The following is a 24995-nucleotide window of genomic DNA, read 5'->3' on the forward strand; positions in this document are numbered from 1 at the left end:
CAACTCTCTCCCTCTTCTGCCCCTCCTTTTTGGAATTAACTAGGATCAGACATTAGCAAAAATGGGATTTGATCCCTGACTTCTTGAGTCTTATCTCTGAAATCTTTCAATTGCATCATGGAAGTTAATACTTCCACACAAATAGAAAAATAAGATGTATTAGGGTTCTACAGAGAACAGACCAATTGGATATATAGATAAGTAGATAGATACAGATACAGATTTCGAGAGGAGATTTATTATGCACAAGTTATTATGGAGGCCAAGAAGTCCCACACTATGCCATCCGCAGGCTGGAGAGCCAGGAAAGCCAGCTGTGTAATTCAGTCCAAGCCAGAAAACCTGAGAACCAGAAAGGCTGATGGTGTAACTCTCAGTCTGGGACTGAAGGCCTGAAAACTGGGAGTGGGAGATGCTGGTGTAAATCCCTGAGTCTGAAGGCCTGAAAACCAGGAGCTTTAATGTCTAAGGGCAGGAGAAGATGTGAATGACCCAGCTCAAGAAAAGTGACAGAATTTGTCCTTTGTCCAACCTTGTGTTTGATCTGGGCCCTCAGTGGATTAGATGATGCCCAGTCACACGGGTGAGGGCCACCTCCTGTGCTCAGTCTACTGACTCAAATGCTAATCTCTTCTGGAAAGAGCCTCATAGCCGCATCCAGAAATAACGTTTTACCAGCTATCTGGGCACCCTGTAGCTCAGTCAAGTTGACACCTAAAATTAACCATCACAGAATCCCAAGGAATCTGAGCTAAGTGGTCATTGTTAATACTGGATAATGATACAATATCCTGGGGAGACTGGAAGTATATTTGGGGAATATTATGAACCTTTGTGGGTCGCTGCAGCTGAAACAATCCAAGTGAGTTCAAAGACTCAGGACAAATCAGCACAGCTGCTTAAAGGATTGGAACCCAGGCTTAGACAGGATACTTGTTCTACCCATCAGAAATGGTCAGGGGTGACCTTCAGGGGATGGACTCATCCCCAGGCAGAAATGACTCATGCCAGGAAACCCTTCCTGGAGGCAGAGAATGGGGCATAATACCAAAGAATTCTTTTCTAGATTTGCTTGGCTGCCATGAAAAATAGTTTTAGCTCCTGTACTTAACCTCCTTTTTCTCACTCTCATTTTGGACCTAGAAATAAGAAGACAGTTATTGTTTGTGTTCAGGAATAATTTGGACTTTTTAGCATGTGCAAATGCTAATGTGCTAAAGTGTGTGAAAAGGCGGGGGATACAAAATACTAATGCTGAATGATTAAAGCTAAGTAAAAGTTATATAGAGAAAAAAGACAGGAAGAACAACTCCAAAATGTAAATACTGGTTGCCTCTGTGTGGTGGGATGGTGGGTGATTGTCCTACTTTTTTGTATGTTCTAAAAATTCATGTATGGCTTTTATGATGGAAAAAATGAATGATAATGCAAAATGTTTAGTTTTGCATTGCACTGACAGATGTAAGTTTAAGGATCAGAATGGATTGCAGGCCTGAAGATGATGTTAGCAAAGATTTACATTAGGACTAGAGGCATTGGCTGGCAGAGGACCCATGAAAGCAGATCAGAGGCTCCCAGAGCTCCCCTGTTCCTCTTCAGAGAAGAGAGAAAGCTGCTAGGTCTCTGCCATTCATATATAAGTAGCACATTAAGCACCCAATGGCACTAATCTCATGGAGAGAAGCTTGCAGACCAATGTGTTTTACATACCCACTGACTTCAGGCCCAGGGCCCAGTGCAGTGCTATCCTGCTCTGTTGAAGGATTTCTGGTTGCCAGCCTCTGAAATTGTGTGTTTAGGGAAATGCAAGATGCTTGGTTCAGTCAAACTGTGGTATGTAAGCTTGGAGAAATGAGAGATGAGTCTGGGTGGGGAAATTCAGAGAATAGAGGGCCATCAGGACGTGCCTGGGAGGTTGGACTTGGCTCTGTGTGTGACACAACATGTCTTCTTGGAGGTTCAATTGATTTTATTTATTTTTGGGTGGGAGTGAGGGATAGGGAGAAACCCAATAATTTAATTGCTAAGTATTATATACCATTATTTTTATATTAAACAAACACAGGTACTTTAGGAACTAAAATGTGAAATCTGAATGAATTATTAAAAGATAAAACAGTAGACTACATAGAATTTGTGTCTGCAGCAGGCTGCATCATGGTACATCTTCAAATCCACAGAGACTCACTCTCCTCAGCTAATTTGACGTACTGTTTTTCACCAGAAACTGAATCTAGGGAGCAGAGCATGGGAATTTGAGATAGTGAATTGGGGGCCAATCTCCCAACACTTTTTGAAAAAGAGGCTGTGGAAAGGAAAGACTGAGGAAATAACCTGCCATAATTTTTAAAAAGCAATTAATGTGCATATAAAATTTGAAAGAACCACATTAGGACCAGGGAATGGTCTTTTTACCATTTTAAAGGGACATGAAATAGACCTCCTCTGTGGGCTACAAGGTGGAGAAATGAATGGCACAGTTGCTAGATCATCTCAGCCTTCTCTCTGTCGGATCACTCACCAATCTGAGGGCATCATTCATTAATTCATTCCACAAATACATCACATCCTTACCATGTGGAAAACCCTCTACTGGACATCATAACTGCAAAGGAGAACAATTTCCTGCACTCCTGGGGCCTACAGTTTCCAGATGCTGTGGAGCCAGGAACTGAAGACTTCCTGTGGTTTCTGGAAAGTGTACTGGGGCCCCTTGTGCCACTGCACTCAGATTCTTGTTCAGCTCAACTAATGTCACTGGTTGGCTTTGGGCATTTGATTGGTTAACCTTTTCCTGCACAGGTGCAGGTGTCATTTTTCTGCACAATTACCAGCTTGTTTAGGGGTTGGGGCTCTGCTATTGATGGAAGAGACATGTTAGTTAAATATTCAGTTTGAGGGTCTGGCTGTATTTGTGACTCTTCACTCGTCTGTACCATTTAGATACTACCTACCACCACTGGCCCGGCTCTTCTCAGCAGTGCTGTGGGGTGTGCCAATGCTCATGCAAGGCCTTTATCTTCCACAGCACGTTCTCTTGGGTTAAGTAGATAATATAAATAATATAAATAATGATCTGAAAATATTATTATGATAACCATCGTACCACTATAATTTTTTTTCTCAGCTGTGAAGCTAATAAAACAAGATTAAGAGGTGTCTTTGATTGAGGATCCTGAGGAAAATCTGCCATGAAGTTGAACAAAGCAATTGCCAGGGGGATTTGCACTCAGCCGTCACACAGCTGGTCAGGGGGATCACAGTGCTAAGTGGGGTGTGCAGCACGTCCCGGTGGTGTGTGCTCCTGGGCACCGCCTGCAGGATGACCCAGGAGCTGGGATTGTGCCTTGTGGTTTGGGTACAGAATCATCCCATGTTCTAAGTAAACTTCAGTTAGTGAGGCGTGCAGGGCCACCTTTCGTACATGAGACGGTGTCCTCACCAACCACCCTTTCTCCAAGGAACAGGGGCTCTGGTGGGTCCTGAAGAGGAGAAGGTGAATGGCACCGTCCCTAGGAATAGTGGGCTGAGGATGCTGCTCTTTGCCCCGGAGATCTTCTTTCCACTTGCTCACAGCCCACCCAGAGGTAACAGTCTTGGAGGGCAGCTGTGTGTCAGCCCTTCTTCCATGCCCTGTACCTATACTAGCTCACTTAGTCCTCATGAAAACCCAAGGAGGCAGGTGCTATTTTAATCACCTTCTTACAGTTAAAGAAAGGGAGGCACAGAGAGGTGAAGTAACTTACCCAGAGTCACATAGATCTTGAGTGGTCAGAAACCTGAGAATTAAATGCAGAGCCTGCTCTCAAAATTGTGACAATGAAGTAGCTGTCAATGTGCTTTCATTTTGACCTTTTGTTTTTTGAGGAATGTGTCATTTTCCTGCACAATTGCCAGCTTGTTTGGGGGTTGGGGCTCTACTATTAATGGAAAAGACATGTTAGTTAAACATTCTGTCTGTTTATCTATCTGTCATCTATCTGTCTGATCATCTGTCTAATCATTTATTCAGAGTATACTGAGTGGGCAGGCTCATGTCAGGTAGTGGGAAACCATAGCCTTTGGGATCAGAGACACCTGAATTTACAGCCCAATTTCCATTAGGTGACCTTAAATAAACCAATCTCCATGAACCATAGTTTCCTAATATAAGAAATGGAGACTAAAATACCGATTTTTGATTTTATTTTTTAATTAATTAATTAATTTTAAAATGGACAATAACATTGTATATATTTATGGCATACAACATGATTTATTTCTTTTTCTCTTTTTTTTTTGAGATGGAGTTTTACTCTTGTTGCCCAGGTTGGAGTACAATGATGTGATCTCGGCTCACTGCAACCTCCATGCCTCCCGGGTTCAAGAGATTCTCCTGCCTCAGCCTCCCGAGTAGCTGGGATTACAGGCACCTGCCACCACACCTGGCTGATTTTTTGTATTTTTAGTAGAGATGGGGTTTCACCATGGCGGCCAGGCTGGTCTCAAACTCCTGACCTCAGGTGATCCATCCTCTTTGGCCTCCCAAAGTGCTGGGAAAACAGGCGTGAGCCACCATGTCCGGCCACAATATGATGTTTTGATATATGCACGATACCTACTTTCATTGCAGGGATATTATGGAATGAGAAATAATAGTCTTAACATATCTAGTGCAGAGTGAATGCCTGATGAATGTTAACTCTGTGTGGAGGAGAGTACAGAAAAAGTAGACAGCTTACTCTCTGCTCTCACTGCTTATGTTTGAGTACAATTTGCCATCTACTGCACTTACCAAAGCATAATAAACATGAGTCACCTACTGTCCTGACTGTTATTACAGAAAGGGCAGTGAACATAAAAGGACAACAGAGGAGCACCCTTGAGCTCTGCTGCTCCTGGGGAATGGGTCTCACACCATGAATATGTTAGTCAGGCTGGGCTAGGTTGTGATATAGTAACAAGCAATTCCCAAATCGCCAAGGCTTAACATAATAAGCCTTTATTTACCTCCCACTTTGCATGTGCAATATGTCTGATAGAAGGCCCTGCTCCACACAGTCTCCTGAGGATCCAGGCTGATGGAGATTCCACCATCATACAGCTGCACCATCTAAGATACACGGGCTTCTTGCTAGAATGCTTGGGGTAGGAGAACGCTGGAGGGTCTTGCATCAGGGGTTAAATGCTTTAGGCTGGAAGCAACACAGGTCACTTCAGCTCACATCTTGCAAGCTTGCATGGTCTTGCCTAACTGTAAATCCTTCCTCTTGCCTAGAGGGAGAAGAGAAGTGGATTTTGGTGATTACTCCAAGATCCTCCTCAGGTATAATCCTGTTTCTGTTTGGTTGGCCATGTCTTTGCAGCTCAAATCCCAATGAGAAAGGGCTGTCTTTCTGCTAAAAAATATTTAAAACTCTTCTTTTTTTCACTGTAAAGAGGCAGAGAGTCCCAGATAGGCCCATGACACAAAGCACTCAATTCAAACCGTAGAAAGTCTTTCGGTTGGGGCTTCTCTGGGTTCAGGTGTTGAGAGAGGGTTGGGCCAAGGGAGCAGTCTGCCCCACCTTCTTACAGGGGATGGCTTTAGCCAGGCTGCTCTGGCTTCTTTCAGTACAAGAGTATTGGTTTGTTCAATAACGGAAGATTGGAGGTTAGGGCTTTAGTGGTTAGAAAACAAAGAACACCTGGATTGTCTTGTGGGCCCAGCGCCATTGCATGGATACATTCGGCCTCCGACAAGATTTTGAAGACATGAACATTGTCATAAATATTACTTGCAAAAGTAAGGAGCGCCCCAAGCAGTCCACATTTTCTTTGAGAACTAATCATAATGGTATTAGTCATGGTGATTTTGAAGCTTTTGGGGGATGTACTTTTGCATTGAGCTGTCTCTCCTTTGGGGCCCACATGCCTGCTGCTCTGATGGAAGAAGATGGGAATGATATTCCTTTCAGCTGCAGTTTCCTCACCAGTAAAATGAGGATAATGATAACCCTGATCTGACAGGGTTGTCATAGCGTTAAATGAAATAACACTTGTGAAGAGACCCAGTGCTACACCCAGTCCTGGCTGATTAAATGCCAGGTATTATTTGGTGTTTCTTGCATTTACTCTCCCTTGGAGTTGGGGCTTCAATTTATGCTCCAGTATACCATCTGCCACCTGTCCTGGGATGCTGGGAGTTAGATAGGAAAATGATACTCTTCTGGCCGGGCGGCTCATGCCTGTATTCCCAGCACTTTGGGAGGCCGAGGTGGGTGGATCACCTAAGGTCAGGAGTTCGAGACCAGCCGGACAAACATGGTGAAACCCCATGTCTATTAAAAAATTAGCTGGGCATGGTGGCACATACCTGTAATCCCAGCTACTAGGGAGGCTGAGGCAGATGAATTGCTTGAACCTGGGAGCTGGAGGTTGCAATAAGCCGAGAGGGTGCCACTGCACTCCATCCTGGGCAACAGTGAGACTCCGTCTCAAAAAAAAAAAAAAAAAAAAAAAGGGAAAAGAAAATGATGCTCTTCCCACCCCAATCCCCCTGACTCAGACTCACTTTCTGCACCACCGAGAGCCAGTATCTTGAGCTGGTTCTCATCTTGTAACTCCCCTCTCGTCCTCCAAAAATCCTGACCATTTTTTTCCTGCCACTGTTATCAGAACCACTTAAGCCATCTCTCTTCCACCCACACCGTCAGCGAGGGGATTGGGAAGTCCAGTTCACGGGACGGGAGAGAACATGTTGGAGAGTGACAGTCACTGCCCACAGAGCCAGCAAGTCATGCCGGAGGTGGAAAACTAGAAAAGAGGCAGGAAAGGGGGCAGAAAATGAGTTTCCACCAGGAAGTAGTTTCATTCTGAAGAATTTAACAAATTTACAAAACAGATTCTGTTGAAATGCAGAAGTAAGTCAGCACTTGGCTGGCCACCCAGGCCCTGTGAGGGAGAGATAACACAGGCATTTATCTAAAGACCCTTTTACACACGCACACAGGACGAATTTTTCTAGCTAATTAGAAATGTAGTTTTACCACCAGCACTTCCCATCTCTTATCAATCTCTGTGGCCGACAACCACTTGATGGAGGTAAATTTTTCAGTTTTGATGGTGTTTGGGTAATTCATGGGCCTCAAAATCAGAAAGTTATTGGGATAGAAAAGACCTTGACAAGTCATTTAGTCAGTAGCCTGCCTTTGCCCACAGGCTGTTCCTGGGGGCACATATATGCCACATTGTAATAATGACATCAATCTTTCCATTGACTCATTTATTCAACAATGTGTTGAGCAATAATAAAAATAAATAAATTTATTAAGTATTTACCTATACACCAGATACCATGCTATGTGCTCTCCATTAATTTTCTCATTTTATAATAATAACTCCCCGAGGGATAAACTTTCACTATTCTTTTATATAGATGAGGCGTTGGAAGGTTGAGCTCTAGCTGTGAATAGGACACAGCCCTGCCCTCAAAGAACTTGCAACCAGATAAACAGTGGGATAAGCAAGGCAGCAGTGAGACTGTGTTATGGAGCTATTAGGAGGGCAACTTAGCCCAGTGTCGGGAAGTCAAGGCAGGCTTCCTGCAAGAGGTGATATTTGGACTGAGACCTGAGTTGTTAGCCATGCAAAAGCCCTGCCCTTCTTCCCTTATAGGGTGTGGCTTCAACCAGACTTTTCTGGCTTATACTGGTATGCTGCACCAATAATGGTTGGTGCACTAATGGCAAATTGGAGGTTAAGGCTTTAGAGGTTAGAAAACCAGGAGCACCTGGATCATTTCACAGCCCACCTCAGTACATCAGTTAGCAGTCCTGGAGTTTGTTCTCTGAGTACAGTAGGAGCAAACACCAGGAGGACGTGGTGCCTTCGGTGGAGCACTGAAGGAGTACCTGGCTCAGAGTGGGTGGGAGCAAGTGGAGTGAGGGAAGCAGAGGGTGGGAGAGAGGCAGGCCCAGGTTCTGAAAAACCTTAGAAGCCTAGTTAAAAGGTTGGACTCTATTCTGAAGGTAGCTGGGGTCCACGGAAGGGTTTTCAACATAATAGAGGTGTCGGCTTTGCATTTCGGAAACATCGCTTTGGCTGCAATAAGGAGAGTGGATTGAATAGGGAAAGCTGAGAGTCAGGGAGGCTGAATTAGGAGGCCAGTCCATGATGCAGGCAGATGGAAGATGATGGAGGTCTGTGAGATTGAGAAGTGATGACTCAGGGAGGTATTGACGGTGAGGGGCTGACCAGGGGAGGTGAGTGGACAGGAGTGAAGGGCCACCCAGGTTTCTGGCTTGGATTCCCGCGTAAATGGTGGTGGCATCTGTTAGGGTAAAAAAACAGCACCTTGTAGCTGGCATATTAAGTAAGCAGAAATAATGGGGTATAATAGTGAAAGGAACTTTATTTTTCTCCCACTGTTCCTTTCAGTCTGCTAAGTGGAGATGGAAATTGGGTGGGTCTCATGGCTTTTGTGGTCTCTTAGGTGACACCAGGCTCTTAGTCACTTTAAGTCACAAAACCTGCCTCAATTAGCTAGAGTATCCAGGCCAGTATGGGGATGAGTGCTCCCCTCCTCATTCAAGGGTGAGGTCTCCCCTCCACCCAGCTGGGGCTGGTGGCAGGTAGAATATTTGCTTTTCGGGAATGGGTATGGTCAGTGCCTCTCTGTCCCTAGCTCACATCCTCACCCACTCTCTGGCTGCTGTGTGTGATCCCACCAGCATAGAAGTGGGGGTGGAGGTGAGGGATAAGGCATGAGGAAGTCCATAGTCCACTAATGCTGGAGGGAGATGGCTCTGCCCTCTCTCAGCCAGGCAGACCATCTCTTATGGGCACTTTTATGAATTCGCTGGTGGCTTCCCCGGGCTCCTCTTTCATGGGAAATGCTTCTCTTTCAAGAGGATGCTCCCAGTCAGTCTCTTCTCAGCCTCTGCTTCTGCCTGTCCAGCCTTCTGTGTCTCCATGCTGAGGCCCCTCCTTGGCAGAACCCATTTTGGGACAACCCTGGGTCAACATTTCTATCATGATTCAACTCTGGCTCACAGGCTTAATTCCCAGACATGGGGCTGAACTCTGGACCACAGTCAGTTTTGGCTTTCCAGGGCCAAGTCAGGCTGAATTTGTGGTGTACTCCATCATAAGGAGCATACATCAAAGCCTCTCCTCTGTTGGGATTAAAGGGCAACACCTGTCCATCCCTCCTCTATGTGGGTGGGATGGGACTCCCAGCTCCCGGTGACTGTATCTAATGAACTATTCATTCAAAAAGAAATCTCTTAATGTGCACTTGTTGGTTCTTTCATATCTTCATTGACAACTGGTCATTTAACTGGTTTCATCACCAAGTTTGAAGTTTTTGGATCTGGTATCTACTATAGGTCGACATCTCCTTTGAAGCTTTTAATGTAATGCTCTTTTCATTATACTTTCAATCTTTCCCATCCACCTTTTCTATTTGGGGCTTATTCCTGCGCTGTGAGGTGGATAGGAAGGCATTTTTGTCTCCATATTTCAGATGAGCAGCTGGAGGAACAAGGAGATTCAGTGATTGAATATGGTTCTTCAGAGTTATTTAACAAAGGGGTGTGGAACTGAGCCATGAGGGCCAGGCTCAGCAGCGTTGGCTGCCTCCGGACAGGGGCCATTGCCATGACCCTACTGAGCAGTGCTCTACTGTGAGCCTTTTTGGAGGGCGTCTCAGGGTACTGATGTCACCCAGGCTGGGGCTGACCTAAAGGCAGATTTGAAACAAGAGCTCCCCCAGGCTCTGACATGTGTCTTCAGCTAGGAAAAGTCAGGAGGGCAGCATGGAGAGTGAGGAAAGTCCTTTTCCCTCAGTTTTTGCCCCAGTTTTCTCATCTGTTAAACAAGAGTAACAATATCTTTCTCATAGTGTTGTCACAAGGACTATGTCAGCTAATATCTATTAAATTCCAGCCTACTGCTTGCCATAGAGCAACTGATAAATAGTAAACACTGTCCTTACCTTAAGCCGAGACTGTGGTTACTAAAAGAGGTGAACGTGGACCCCCATGAAGGAGGGGGTCAAAGAAGGAGAGGATTAGTGGGATCTTCTATCAGAACTGGAAGCAAAAGGCAGAAGTCTCAAGTCCCCAGCTCTCTGTTGGTGGCTTTTGTGATCTGTCTTCTTTTCATATTTAGTGCTCTGGTTTGTTTTTGGGAATAGCCAGGGAACCAGGAGGAGACCTACAGGGTGATCTCTGCATGCCTGGGGGATGACAACCCCAGGGGCAGAGTGGATGGAGGCAGTGACAAAGACCAAAAGGAGAAAATAGGCCAAGTTTCTTGGTCCCCATCAAAAGAAGACAGCTGAGGATACCGCCCCGAGAAGAGGGAAACCCTGAAGGCTGAGAAGCAGAAACCCTGTGTGCAAGGGGGCACTGCCCCAGGGCCTGACTTGAGCATGAAATTCCTTTTTCATTGGAATCCCGTCACTGCTGGGTTTACCTGAACTGATAGGATTGGGGTCTTGTCCCAGCAGAGTGTTGTAGGTGTGCATGTGTGTGCTCACGTGTGTGCACACATGCTTAGCATAAGACAGGTGGGAAGAGGTGAAGAAGCACAAAATGTAACAATCCTTTATTTTAGCTGCAATGCTTTCTGCTTGTATTTTCTCTTCTAAAAATGATGTTTTTGTTAGAAATAGCAATGGAGCAATCCCAATTAATGGGAAAACACCATTGGGACTTTTTCTCATGGAAACTTTTTGAGCTGACTAGTTACTATGTTTGTATTAGCAAAATCCATATGGCTCCTGTGTAAGGAAATGGGTGGATTTGTGTGCTGAGGTGAGGGTGGGGGATCATCTTACGGCAGGCTCCACCCTACAAAGTGTGTCAAGGCTTTGTTTTCGTACCCAGTAGGGCTGGTAGAATTGATTGATTGACTGATGGTGCCTGTGATTAGGTCTCCAACTTAAGCATGTATCAGTATCACCTGGAGGGGTTGTTCACACACAGATTGCTGGGCCCCAGGCCCAGGGTTTCTGACTCAGTAGGTCTGGAATTGGGCCAGATAATTTTCTAAGCCATACTAATCTCACTGGTTCGAGGATTGCACTTTGAGAATCCCTGGGCCTGTGGATAATTATAATAAAACCCAGTGACATTTCTTTTAGGCCCCCAGTTTACTGTTAGAGGTTTAGGGTTTTACACCGTTAAAAGGAAAACTACATCAGCTTTATTAACCCGGGCAAGTTCCAGAAACCACAAAGCAAAGCTCAGGGCCACCCTAGATTAGAGAATATAGTCTAGGGTTGAGCAAAGTGTAGCTCCCACATCCCATCTGAATCTGGCCTTTCAGTAAATGGGGTGGGACCGAGCTGGGATTTGGATGCAGGCAGAGACCGTGAGTTTAACCACTAGGCGGTGTTGTCTAATAGCGAGTGCTAATCTGGTTGTGGAGTCCAGACTCTCTGTGAGCCATGCCAGGCACCCAGAGGCAGAATTGCAGAACCCTAAAGGCAGGTTCCTGTCTCACCCTCCACATTTATCCTCAGAGTGGCCCTTCTAGTGCTTCCTCCTGCCAGGTATGCATGCATCTGGGCTTACCTTCTACATGTGCACCTGACCGTCACCCTGCTCTTCCCCTGGGCCTGCAGCTGGGAGAGGAGGTGGACTACCCCTTCCTTTTATCTGATCTTCTTGCCCATCGGCTGGTTGGATCAGTATCCTTGGGGTCTGCAGAGCAAACACAGCTGCCTCTCTCCTCCCATGTCTCTCTGGCTCGGACACTTACTGGTCACACATCTTTTGCTGTCAGGTGACATGATGGAGTTCAACCTTGATTTCCTCATCTGTGAAATGGGAATAATAATAATGCCATCTGCTGAAGGTGCTGTGAGAACTAAATCAGTAACTGTGTGTGAAGCCCTTAGACAAATGCCCAACAAGGAGTACATTTGGGAAAAGGCCCATGTCTTTATGATTACTCTTCTAATGGAGAAGAGCAAATTGAGGTGAGGAGAGAGAGTGCTTCCCCACATGGGAAGAGGGGCCAGAAACTGCCTTCTTTATGGATAAGATTGTGAGTTGAGGGCAAAGTCCCCTCCTTCCCATCAATGTTAGCATGGTAGTGATTATTAGGTCTAAATAACATATTTATTGGCACCTACAACAGCATCTCTTATATATACACACTCAGTGAACACACATGGTTATGATAAATGAGATATTCAAAGTGTCTTCACATCTACTGTCACATCAGATCCTCGTGGCAAGCCTGGCTGATGTGTTGGGTGGATATTATGAGGCCGTTTTCTTGTGCAACTTGTAAATGAACCCATGTCGGAAAAAAGAAGGAGAATCCTTCATCTATTGTCTACTACACAGCATTCACCATGCTAGCTGTGGCTTTTTAATTATCGCAATACCACCATTAGGTGGATACTGCTGTTCTCATGTTACAGCAGATGCAATGACATCTCAAAGAGGTTAAGTGACTTGCCTATAGTCACATAGCTGATAAGTGATGGGGTCAGAGTTTGAACCCAGCCCCATTGCCTGTATAGCCAAGGCTGTTCCCCAAGCAGGTGTTGCCCTGTAGGACAGTAGCAACCAATGAGGTCTGCAAATGATAGTGACAATTTTATCCTTGGAGTAAGTGCACCACTTTCTCATGTTACCTTTATGAGTGGAATAGCCCTCAATTTAATGGTTTCTGGTTGGGATCTCAAAAAGTCTTTCACATGATTTTGGGTCTGGCCTCATACATATACTTGAAAGTCTCTGTTATGGGCAAACATCTGGAGACATAAAATGATGCTCGATTTACTTAAAAATTACTGAGCCGGCTACTGGCAGCTGTAGACTTGAACTCAGTCTCCCTGAGGCTGGACCAGGCACTCTTTGGGCCACACTGTCGTATAGGAAGTAGTCAGGGTGTTCTGTTCTTTCCTGCATTCCCAGATTCAGGGTGGGTGCAGCGTTTGGATGCACTGGTAATATTTTCATGCTGTTTCTGCTAAAGGTCAAATTGACAATGCTGCTCTGGCCATTTCTGGAGTCTCTGGTGAGTTATTTATGCTTTCATTAGCATGTCAATGTACACAGCACACATACCATTTACACACGCAGAGATGAGATCTATGCATTTGAAGAATGTTTATGGCCATAGCCTCTCTGTTATTTTACAAAAAACTCCAGGAAATATGGTGTTTTTCTCAGAATGCCAATATAAAAGTTGATATAAAGATTGGTGATGTGTAAGCTTTGACATTACATAAATATATGTAGGCGTTGTAAAAGTTAACAACCGTTTTATTTATAATTATACTGCAGATTGATATTTTTATATCCATATTGTCGATGGTAACCTTTCTATCTTCACTTCAGTCTGGGCCCAAGAATGTTTATATTAGACTTTTATGTCTGTGTTTCCTTCTGTAACATCAGGGCACATGCTGGCTTTCTTCAGTCACAGGAGTATTAGTGTCACCCATCCATCCTCCCAGGAAAAAAATTCTTGTCCCATTGGTCTCGTAATTCATGGTATTATGGTGCACAGTTTGATATCCCTTCATTGCCATGTAACTACAAACTGTGCTTTCTCCTTCCCCTACATTCTCATCATAATATTTCTGGATTGCCACATCTGTCTTGCAAGATAGAAAAGTTATATTTGGTTGAAATTTGAGCCACTGGATTGAGAAACGCTTGTTATCTGACTCCTCCAGGTTTACAAGAATGTGGATCCAAACTCTCCTTCTTGCATACGGATGAGGAAGATAGCACGTTTTTATCCTCCGCTTAGCTCTGCTCTAAGGGGGAAAAATGCCCTGTCTTAAATATTTGATCCTCTTTACAAAAGATTCCCTACTGAACAGACAGCTATAGTATTTTTAACTGGCGAAAACCACTCTGGTGTCACTTTTAAAGTAGAAAAGGAAAAGCAATATTCACACAATATGGAGAACTATTGACCCCAGAATAGTGCCATTTTCTTTCTTGATGGGTTCAAATTAAGCAAAACCTAGACATTTTGCTCCACGTAGAGGCATCTCAGTGCAGGCCAGCTTGTAGATTCTGCACCAGGCTCTGCAGGTTACTAGCGATATAACCTCCCTGAGCCTCAGGTTCCTTGTCAGTCAAAGATAGCATTGAAAGTCACTCCCAGTCTAGCCCATAAGATCATGCATGCCAAAATTTGGTACAGGTGCAATGCATGCTTGTTTTTTCACAAAAAAGGGGATCAACTGACTGATATTTATTTGACTAAATTCAATCACTTGGTCACTCATTCAACACATTTAATTTGTGAAACTAAGACTTAAAGCTCTGTCTAAACAATGCTGTCAGATGCAAGCACGTGGTAAACCCATGCTGGTTGTGGTGGGTGCAATGTTTCTGATGTGTGGGCTTAATTTTCATGCCACACCTTGAACTAGCCAAAGGTTTTCCGTTAGAGAGGTTGGGTGGGCCTTCTGGGACATGGAGATATTCCACCATCTCCTGACTTGAATGAGAACAATGGAGCCCTGGAGGGGGTGTCTGACTCAGAGGTCCTCTTTGTTTTTCTCCCACCTGCACTTCTTACGGTAGTGTTAGTGCTGGGGGAAATAACCACTCTTTCAGGACACAGGCACACACATTTACTTGAGCTAACTATGAGTCAGGCACTTTGTATACACTCATGAATATTTCATGGTATTTTCTCCACATGTCAGATAATCATCAGGGATTAGAACCATGACAGAGAGCAGGGCAAAGTCCCTGACCCAAGGAACTTGCAGGGTAGTGGCATCTCCTGACAAGCCCTCCAGGAAGTATTAATATCTCTATTTTCCCAACGAGAAGAATGAGGTTTGGATTTGTAAAGGGGCCTAGCCTAATACTGATGTCACCTGGAAAGTGTGTGGAAGAACCAGACTCTAGTCCCAAAGTCCCTCCACTTTCCCCTATATTCTGCTCCTTTCCCAACCTGTGCTGGGCTGGTGCTGAGTCAAACAGCTTGTGATAACCATTCAAGTGATAACCAAACCAACAAGCAAAGTGGTGGGATGCCTCTGAGCCCAAGGGGACACCACTAGAAGAGTGAGCTAGTGACCAGATGCTAGCTGTGGGCTGGAGGGAGTGAAGGCCAGGTAACCGTTGTGGTCCTGGAAGAAGGTGGTGCAGGTGGACTGTCCTCGATGTGGCCACAGATGACATAGGCATTAATTATTTCTTGCATTTAACCTCAGTGCATAAGGGTGGGGTCCAAGTGTTTGGGTGAGAGTTCAACCAAGGAGGTAGGGCTCACCCACTGAAAGTCATCCAGGTCTTTCATTCATGGGCCATCTGATGAAAGAAGTGAGACATGTTTTTAAAAAATTGTTTATATTGCAGCAAGCATTTGAGCTGTCTGAAGGAAATGATTGGTCTGACTTCTATCTACTTCTCTGCATCATTGTTTGCCAAACATCTACATTCGTACCCTGGGGCAGCCATTGATAATCATTCCAAAATCTTGCCCTGTTTTATGCGTCTTGGCTTATAGACTTGCACCTTTTACTTTGGTCTGCATCTGTGACGGTTAATTTTATGTGTCAACTTGACTGGGCTGGAGGATGCCCAGATATTTTGTTAAAGATTATTCTGGGTTTGTATGTGAAAGTGTTTCTGGATGAGATTAGCATTTGAATGGGTGGGCTCAGTAAAGTAGATTGCTCTCTCCAACATGGGTGAGCATCATACAATTCCTTGGGGGCCTGAATAGAGCAAAAGGTGTAGGAAAGAGGAATTTGCTTCTTTTTATTCTGCCTCATTGCTTGAACAATGAAATGGTCTGAATATTTTCTCTCCCAAATTCATATGCCAAAACCCTAAATCCCAATGTGGTAGTATTTGGAGGTAGGGCCTTTGGGAGGTAGTTATATCATGAGATTGAAGTCCTTATAGATGAAATTAGTGCCCTTATAAGAAGGAGCCAGGTTGGGTGCAGTGGCTCACACCTGTAATCCCAGCACTTTGGGAGGCTGAGGTGGGCAGATCACAAGGTCAGGAGTTCGAGACCAGCCTGGCCAACATGGCGAAACCCCATCTCTACTAAAAATACAAAATTTAGCAGGCATGATGGCACGCACCTGTAATCCCAGCTACTTGGGAGGCTGAGGCAGGATAATTGCTTGAATATGGGAGTCGGAGTTTGCAGTGAGCTGAGATCATGCCACTGCACTCCAGCCTGGATGACAGAGCAAGACTCCATCTCAAAAAAAGAAACAAGAAGAGGAAGAAGAAGAAGAAGAAGAGGAAGAGGAAGAAGAAGAAAAAAGAAGAAAGAAGAAAGAAGAAAGAAGAAGCCAGAGAGATGTCAGAGAGCTAGCTAGCTCTCTTTCTGCCATAGCAAGAGGTCAGCCATCTGCAATCCAGAAGAGAGACCTCACTAGAACCCAGCTATGCTGGCAACATGATCTCAAACTTCCAACCTCCAACATGATCTCAAACTTCCAACCTCCATAACTGTTGTTTATGCCACTCAGTCTATGGTAATTTATTACGGCAACCTGAGCTGACTAAGAGTTCCCCAACTCAGCTCACTCGATCTCCACAATGCTTCTTCTGACGGCCTTCATCATGTGTGGAGAGCTATCCTCTGTGCTACCACAGCCCTTGTGCCCTCCAGCCCCCATCACGGCACCAATGGTGTTGCACCATCTGTCTTTGCATCTAACTTGTCTGTTTTATTAGATTGTGAACACCTCATGTACAGGAACAATTGATTTATTTTCTGTTTCCGTAGCACCTACCACAGTATCTGGCACGTGGCATCAGGTGCTCCAGAAATGTCTGCTGAATGGGAATAAATGAATGAGTGGATGGTCACTAGTGGATAAAAAGAAGCATTTTTAGGTCTCTGCCAACACCTCATAGTGGCATTGCTTGGACATGACATTTTGGAAGCCTAGGTAACAGAAGAGTTCCGGAGGCCCTTTCTATTTAGACATCTGTCAAGCTGCTCGATTATGTCCAACAACTACATTTGAATCCTTAAATGTAGTCCTGTCTCAGGGGCCAGATGCCAACCCCCTCTTAACACCAACAGTCACCTGTCCAGAGATGGTGGGGCCCCAAGTGACTCTTGCGACAATAGCAAAGGGATTTCACTTTTCTGCTTAGCCTAGGTGAAAAAATGACTTGGACTCCTGAGGGCAGGACATAGGGTTCATATAACTCTTCAGCTGCAGCTTTGGTCACTTGGCTTGGCACACCTTTGGTGCTTACTAAATGTTTATTGAATGAATACATGAACCTGTAGTTATTAACAGTAACACTATAAAGTGCAAAATTCCATTTCAGAATGGAGAAATGCTAACAGGAAAAAATAAGCAACCTTTGGATTTTCAAATTACCAATGATTTTAAGTTCAGTGGGTGGATAAAGTAATACTTTCTGTGACACCCTGTTACATAATGGACTCTGTATTCAGAGCTTTACACATATTCTCTGAGTTAATCTTTGCTAAAACTTTGCAAAAGATACAGCTATCTTCACTTTATGGATGAAGAATTGAAGCTCAGAGAAGCTGGGCGATCTAAGTCCATGTAGCTGGAAAGCAGCATAGTTGGGACTGAAACCCTGAGCTGGTCTGAAACCAGAGCCTGTGCTGAGGTTACCTTTCCTACCTCTTGGGTCTTAGAATGTGTAGCTGGAGATCCAGAGACCCAGTTACCTAAAAGAAAGTAAGAATGATGTTAGACATTTAAACTCTGGCTCTGCTTGGAGAGCTCATTCAGCAGGACACCTTTGAATTCAAACCTGAATGCAATTTGTAGTAGGGCTTCCAGCATGAGGCAGGGACTAGTCACTTCCATTGCTGTTCTCCAGCCTCAGAGGGTATCGCAGGGCTGAGAATATCTTTGAAAAGGAAAGATCAAAGGCAGGCTCTGAATTTCAGATATTGTTTCAACCTTCAGCATTGCCCTCATTTTATTGCAGTTTGTGCACTTGTCTTCCTCTTAAAAGGTAATTTAGAAACTACTTTACTTGGGTTAGATGGTTTCCTATTTGGTTGTGTGTGAGAATGCAACACATGTGAGATGAAATTAGCATTGCAGGCTCTTGACAGTTGTTTTATTAATTAGACTGCTTTATTTAGCAGACACTTTTCATATCATCATTCCTCCTGCATATCCAGAGTAGGCAACTACTTATGTGTTATGAATTGAGGAGTGTTGAGAGGGGCTTCCTTGTCCAAAAACAGCTCTTCTACTAGCTGTCATCATACCTAGAGTCTTTCTGCAGGTGAGCCTCTGTGTCCTGGCCAGTGGTAAAGATTAAATGGACCACAGCAGGGAAGAAAGCAACCCCGGAAGTTTTACTTGGAAAAGATCTTAGAATTCCTCTTGTCCAAGCTTCCAGCTGGTCAGAAATCCTTTCTGTAGTATTTTCCAGATCTAGCCATCTAGCTGTCACACAAATGCTTCTAGTGACAGCAGTGGACACTCCTATGGTTAACTGGTCATACTGGTGAAAATGTTCATTCTTCTGTGGAGCCCAAAACTGTTTCTCTGGGTTTTCATGTAAACACATAAAATGTGTCTAAAATAATGATGACATATAAAGGTTAGTAGGCAGATTCTGCCAACTGCATCCTTCTCCATTCTTCTGGGAGAGCACAGGGCTCTTCTTTAGATACCTTTCACTGTGGAGTCCATGTTTCTCCATCTGGTCTGAGAGCTTACATTAATAGTGATCACCATCCTCTCTAGCAAATTTGAATTTTTCCTCTCTGAGGATCTCTCTTTTATCTTTAAATGTTCTTTTAACATTCAGTGCTCTCTCATTTATCCTTAAAACAAAACTCAAAACCGTCACTTGATCTTTCTATGCTTATTGGATATCAAATTCCAGGAATATAGAATGTATATTTTTTGCCTCAACTTCCATCCAGCCATTGATCCATCCATCCATCCATCCATCCACCCATCCACCCAACCATCCATCCATCCATCCATCCATCCATCCATCCATCCATCCATCCTTTTATATATCCAAATAGCTAAAAAAGAATATATAAGTGATATTTTATATAGTCATCTGTCTACACAGAAAAACATTTTCTAAGTTTTCACTAAATGCCAGAAATAAGAGAGATATGCTCTGTGCTTAGGGTCATATGGAAACTGATGACAAAGCCTCATGTCTTTGAATAACAAAAGCCCTCTTGCCTGCCCTCAATTATGATTTTGCCCTTCCAGTCTCATGACAGGGTCTCTCCTTGGCAGAGTCTTAATGGGAACCATATTTGAAGAGGATTTGAGAAATGTGGTTCTCAGTCATCTAGCCTTTGCACTACATGGTACAGCTTATGAGGACAGAGGATGGGGATGGTGCAGAGTGCTGCCATTTAGCACAGACCACTTCCTGGCCTCCTCAGAATTCATAAACATGCTTCTAATCGTATTTAAACTTCCAAAGAACAACAACAACATGAATATGCTTATACCTAATAACAATACAACTATCTCTCCTACAACAAAGATGCTTTCCATGGAACCAGAGGAGCAAAGTCATAGCAGCCACAGCACCTGGCCCTAAGGGATGTTCATGGCCCTTCTGCATCAGTCACAATTCTCCTTGAATATCGTATCACCTAAAGACTAAATTATAACGTTAAATAAACATCATTAACACACATTATATAAAATAAAGGAATAGGAGGGGAAAATAAATGGGTTAATATATACCAAATATATACAGACCCTTGAACAATGCATGGGTTAGGGGAGCTGATCCTCCGAACAGTCAAAAATCTGAGTATAACTTTTGACTTCCCCAAAATTTAGCTACTAAGAGCCTTCTGTTGACTGGAAGCCTTACTGACAACATAAATAGTTAATTAACACACATATTTTATGCTTTCATGACATACCTAACATTTTCTTAATATTTTTTATATTTCTAGGCTACATAGTTCATCTTCAAGTCTTTTTAAATTATCATGAATCTCAAAAACATTCTCCAATATATTTATTGAAAAAAATCTGTGCATAAGTGGACCTGCATTGTTCAAACCCATGTTATTCAAGGGCCAACAATAAATAACAGTCAAGGGATATACATAGCTCTGCCCCCAACTTATGCAAGTGGTTATGAGGCCATACTTGCCATTTTTAATTTTTGTTTTCCACTATCCATTCCAAATTTTCTTTGCCCTCAACAAACACTTTAGCTGATCAAAGTTCTTTACCTGGTGGGACGACTGGAATCTTTACTCTTGAAGAGTCTGTATCCTTGGTGGTACCGACTGTCCTGGGTTGTCAGTACCTAATGACTTTTGATGTTGGGCACAAAATCGCTGCATGTTTCCCCAGGGAATACGATGGCTTCTTGATGCATACCTCACTGTCCTTATTGTTTAACAATGGCTCTGTTTTTCCTTTATAATTAAGAAATATCATTAAAGTTGGTACAGTAACTATTTTTTGCCTTTGATTTAGTGGAAGGCCAGATAGTCATCTCAACTTATGTTGAGTGGAACAATCGTTGTGTCCCTCATGAAAGCATTATTGCCTTGGGAACAAAGACTTCTAAAGCAGCAGACCCCAAAGTTATGGAGACATGAGGAAAAATGTCGCAAGTTTGTTATAGGAATAACAGTGAGAGTGGCTACTCTTTCATTGCTTTGATCTCCTACCCTTATATTTTGACAGTCAGAAAAACAGAGTCCTTAATTGGTTGCTGGTTCACAGCATACGCTGCATTTTATAGGATTGCTTCCCAATTCTGCATGGTGGTGTCTCTGAGCTAGTGCCACAACTAAGTTGTTAACAGGCCACTGCAATATTCTAGGATATTCAGTGGTTTCTGCATGATGGGAAAAATGGTAAGAACAGTGAACACCAAGGGCACAAGTCCATTGCCTTATTCATTCTGCTGAAATGAATTTCTTTGTGAGAAGCGATGTTATGTGGAAGCAATATGATGGCAATAATTAAGTCATTCAGTGGGTTCAGTGATGACAGTCCAGCAGAGCATCAGGGACAGAGAAGACAAATCCAAATCACTAAAATAGAGCTGAGATGGATGAATTGACTCACTCTATTTTAGTGAGGACAAACTACTGACCCTTCACTAGAAGGGAACTGCCACCAGGTATCTGGCTGGTTCTTTATGGAACCATGCCATATTATGGACTCGGTTTCCATCCCTAATTTCAGCAGGTGGGGCATTTAGCAATGGTAACAGCCAGCAGAGATTGTATTGTTGAGCTGATGTGTAATGTCAATCCATGTCCTGGCCACACTGCTCAGCAGCCCATTGAGCAGGCACTGGGGAGTTGGGCAAAGACACTGACTTGCCTAGAAGGAATTATCATCTCCACTTGATTACTAGACCAACCTTTGCAGTAGATGCCCTTTGGTAAAGAGTCACATGGGACACAGATATCTCCACACTCTGTGCTCCTTCTGGTAAGTTCATCTCCCTCCCTCTTCCTCAAAACTCTTTGCTAACATTTCTTTGATCTAACTCCTTTGAAACCTTCACCCATGTAGCCAAACCATTGGTTACAGCTCATGAATCAGTGTAGCTCTACACCTTTGGCCATCTCTCCTTCCAGGCACAGTTTGATCCTACAGGTTATAGTCATCTAACCAAAGTTGACTTCACAGCTAGACCACATTTTTAATGTAAGTGTTAGAACCCTGGTTGAGAAAGAGCAGGACCTGAGAATCAGAATGGGGATGTTTGCCTAGATTCTGATGAAGCTGATACTTTAGGCCTCCACTTTTTGCCAGGCTGTCTTTGTCAGCAGAAGAGGCCTCTTCTTGCCTCTCTGAAGAGGTCAGCTCTCCCTTGTGTGGGGACACTGTGATGTCCTTCCTAGGCCTTTCACTGATAAGGAGATGCAGATTTCCTCAAGGGCCATCCCTATCGCCCTGCATTGCCTTCAGACTCTTAACTGTGGGTAGAGCCCCACAGACTCCAGGGAGAGAGAGAAGTGAGAGCTGTTGATGAGCTCAGCGGCTCATCGCCCAAGGGTGTGATTCATAGGGAAGGTTCCAGAAACTGTGCAGTGCCTCATGCTCATCTGCCAGCTGCTGGAACCATGATGGCTTCTGCTTCTTTTTCCACCCCAGATCTTTCATGAGTGTTTCTCATTGGAAGATTCAAAAAAGGCACCATGCTAGCAAAACAGTCTGGGAAATGTGGGTTTTGGCCTCTGCCTATGTGCCATAGGGGAGAGCCTAGGATAGCAGAGATAGTGACAAGGGCTGACAGCCATTTTCACCTTGCAGGACCTGGTACCTAAGGCACTCACTTGTGAGCAGAAGCAGAGGTGGTGTTAGTGTAACTGCCCAATAGGTTCTCCTTGTCTGCTGCCTAGACAGAGCCTATTTATCAAGACAGGAGGATTGCAATAGAGAAAGAGTTTAATTCACACAGACTGGCTGTGCAGGAGACTGGAGTTTTATTATTACTCAAATCAGTCTCCCTACAAACTTGGGAATTGGGTTTTTTAAGGATAATTTGGTGGATAGGGGGCCGGGAAGTCGGGGGAGTGCTGATTGGTTGAGTCAGAGATGAAATCGTAGGGAGTCGAAGCTGTCTTCTTGTGTTGAGTCCGTTCCTGGGTGGGGGCCACAAGACCAGATTAGCTAGTTTATCGATTTTGGTGGTGCCAGCTGATCCATTGAGTACAGGGGCTGCAAAATATCTCAAGCACTGGTCTTAGGTTTTACACCAGGGATGTTATCCCCAGGAGCAAATTGGGGAGGTTCAGAATCTTGTAGCCTCCAACTACATGACTCCTAAACCACAATTTCTAATCCTGTGGCTAATTTGTTAGCCCTGCAAAGGCAGTATCGTTCCCTGGCAAAAAGGAGTTTTGTTTTGGGGAAGAGCTCTTATCGTCCTTGTTTCAAAATTAAACTATAGAGTAAGTTCCCTGCAAAGTTAGTTCAGCCTATGCCCAGGAATGAACCATGACAGCTCGGAGGTTAGAAGCAAGATCATAATTTTCTCAGTTATAATTTTTTGCAAAGGCAGTTTCAATAGAGGGAAGGGGGATGATTTCTGTAAACTATCTGGGAGTTTAGAAATGCGATACAGAAAATAGCTTGTGTCGGGCAAAAGTCTTATCACCACTAGAAATAGTTTCACAATTGTTCTTGCTTGCAAGGGTAGTTTCCAAGGACAGAAAAGTAATATAGTTGGTTTCTTCTAAATGTCTTATATCCTGGTGGAAACTAGTTTCTAAAAATGAATATATTTTCAAAGATTACTTGAAAGCTGTTAAAAGTTGGGCTCTCATATGAAAGGAAACAATTCTTTATGGGGATTTGCTAGAGTTGTTTTTGTTTATAGAAACACTGAAGTCTTTCTCTCACTGATGCATTTTCTCCTGGGCATGAAATGTGTTCCTGCTGAAGCCAGAAGAGTGATATAGCCAAGAAGTGAGTGAGACACATGTGTTCCTTAAGAGGTTTTGACAAAGCTTCCGGAAGGGGGCATCTGTTATTAACAGTGGGAGCTATATTGCACTCTTTTGTTTCTCTTGGTCCATGCTGAGAAACAAGCCCAAATATCCCCATTCAGTATGATCGCTGAAATCTGAGCTCCCTGGAAAAGAATAGGGATTTAACACTTGAAATATGTGTACTTTCTTGGCATCGGTGTGCAGAATGTCTGAATCCTGACTCATGCATCTCTGGTGACTCCTGATTAACATTTTAACCCTCAGTTTTGAGCCACTGGGGAGAATGTTGGTATTCTTACGGCTTCTGTAATAATAGGGAACAGGGATTCTGATCCAGCCCTCATAAGCAAACTCAGCTATGTCTGCAAGGCACTTTTGATCTGCCTTCGTATATAGAAACCAAAGACTCCAGAACAAATTGGACCTGTGTCAAGATCCTCTTTAAGAAACTAAAAGTGGGAGCTTTTCACTAGAAAAGGGGATCCCACAGCTGGGCCACACCCTACAGTTGCAGAGTTGTCAAGAGTCAGATTATGGATATTGGGGAGTCACAATGGGGCAGGAAGATGGCACTGAAGGTTGAAATGGGGCAGAAAATGAGAGGTGCAAGAAAGAGCTCACCCAGGAACTACCGGAGGAGAATCTACTGTGATTCCAGCAGCAGGCCAGCGCGAGTGGTACGGATCTATATCATGGGCAGTGGTCATGTCCTGGGCTTGCTTCTCCAGTTTATGTCTGTGGAAGCAGAGCTGGTGAATCCCAGCAACAGTGCCAGGCTTGCTGACCCATAAGACATGGTTGTGCTCAGGAATTGTACGACTGGATGGCTCTGAGGTGCCTGTGATGAAAGGCTTCCACCTGCAGAGACGTCTTTTCTTTGTAACAGCTCTTCTATGACTACTTCCTCTGAGGGCGACCTGTGTGGGGTGGGGACTAGCTTTCTGGATGTGGGGCATATGTGTGTGGCCTTGGCCTCTAACAAGTGTGCCTCAACTCACTTCGTTAGGGTAGGTCCTGGTGGCTTTGTATGATCTCACTGCTGTTGGAGTCCATTACCAGCCAAGGGAATCATCAAGTTGAAGTGAGTGAGGGCACCATTGGGGCTGTTTCAGTTACAAGTGACAGAAATTCAATCGAGTTGACTTTAGTTGCTTTTTAAAAATGAGCTTTATTGCCTCATATATTTGAAACAGGGCACAGGTAGACCTGGCTTCAAAAACATCAGAAGACATAGAATCAAATGATGCCGTGACTCACCGGGACGCAAATGTTCTCTCTCACTGTCTCTGTGACCCTCAGAGAAGTTCTCTTTTCTGGGCTCAAGGCTTACAAATTTGCAAGTCTGGGTCTAGATGTAAAGTAAGTGTATTTGTTCTCAGTTGTTGTGGTTTGAGTTCCAAGATTGAGTCTTTTGGACCAGATTAGACCACATGAGTATCTCTGGTCTAATGTCTCAAGCCAGGGGGATTCGATGTTCTGACTGGTTGGGCCTTGCTCATGTATCCACCCCCAGAGCCAGGAGTACAATGATTACACCTGAGCCACTTGAACTGGACGTGTGGAGGGTGGGTGGTCCCTCAAAGTAAATTAGGGCCAGTTATCAGAAG

The 24995-nt window shown here is 44.1% G+C and overlaps 1 long non-coding RNA gene across 6 annotated transcripts in view, besides 1 other annotated feature; it reads left to right on the top strand.

The window, feature by feature from the left end:
* Positions 1-24995, top strand: part of LOC105373592 (uncharacterized) — a 530486-nt gene that overhangs the window by 277724 nt on the left and 227767 nt on the right. The gene's annotated exons all lie outside the window — the stretch shown is intronic.
* Positions 12283-12483: a silencer, noted in NCBI's record as "peak3841 fragment used in MPRA reporter construct". NCBI's record gives its function as "represses an SCP1 promoter by STARR-seq MPRAs in K562 erythroleukemia cells {active_cell/tissue: K562}" and the evidence as "EXISTENCE:reporter gene assay evidence [ECO:0000049][PMID:32103011]".

Source organism: Homo sapiens, chromosome 2 (genome assembly GCF_000001405.40).
Source record: "Homo sapiens chromosome 2, GRCh38.p14 Primary Assembly".
NCBI lineage: Eukaryota > Metazoa > Chordata > Mammalia > Primates > Hominidae > Homo > Homo sapiens.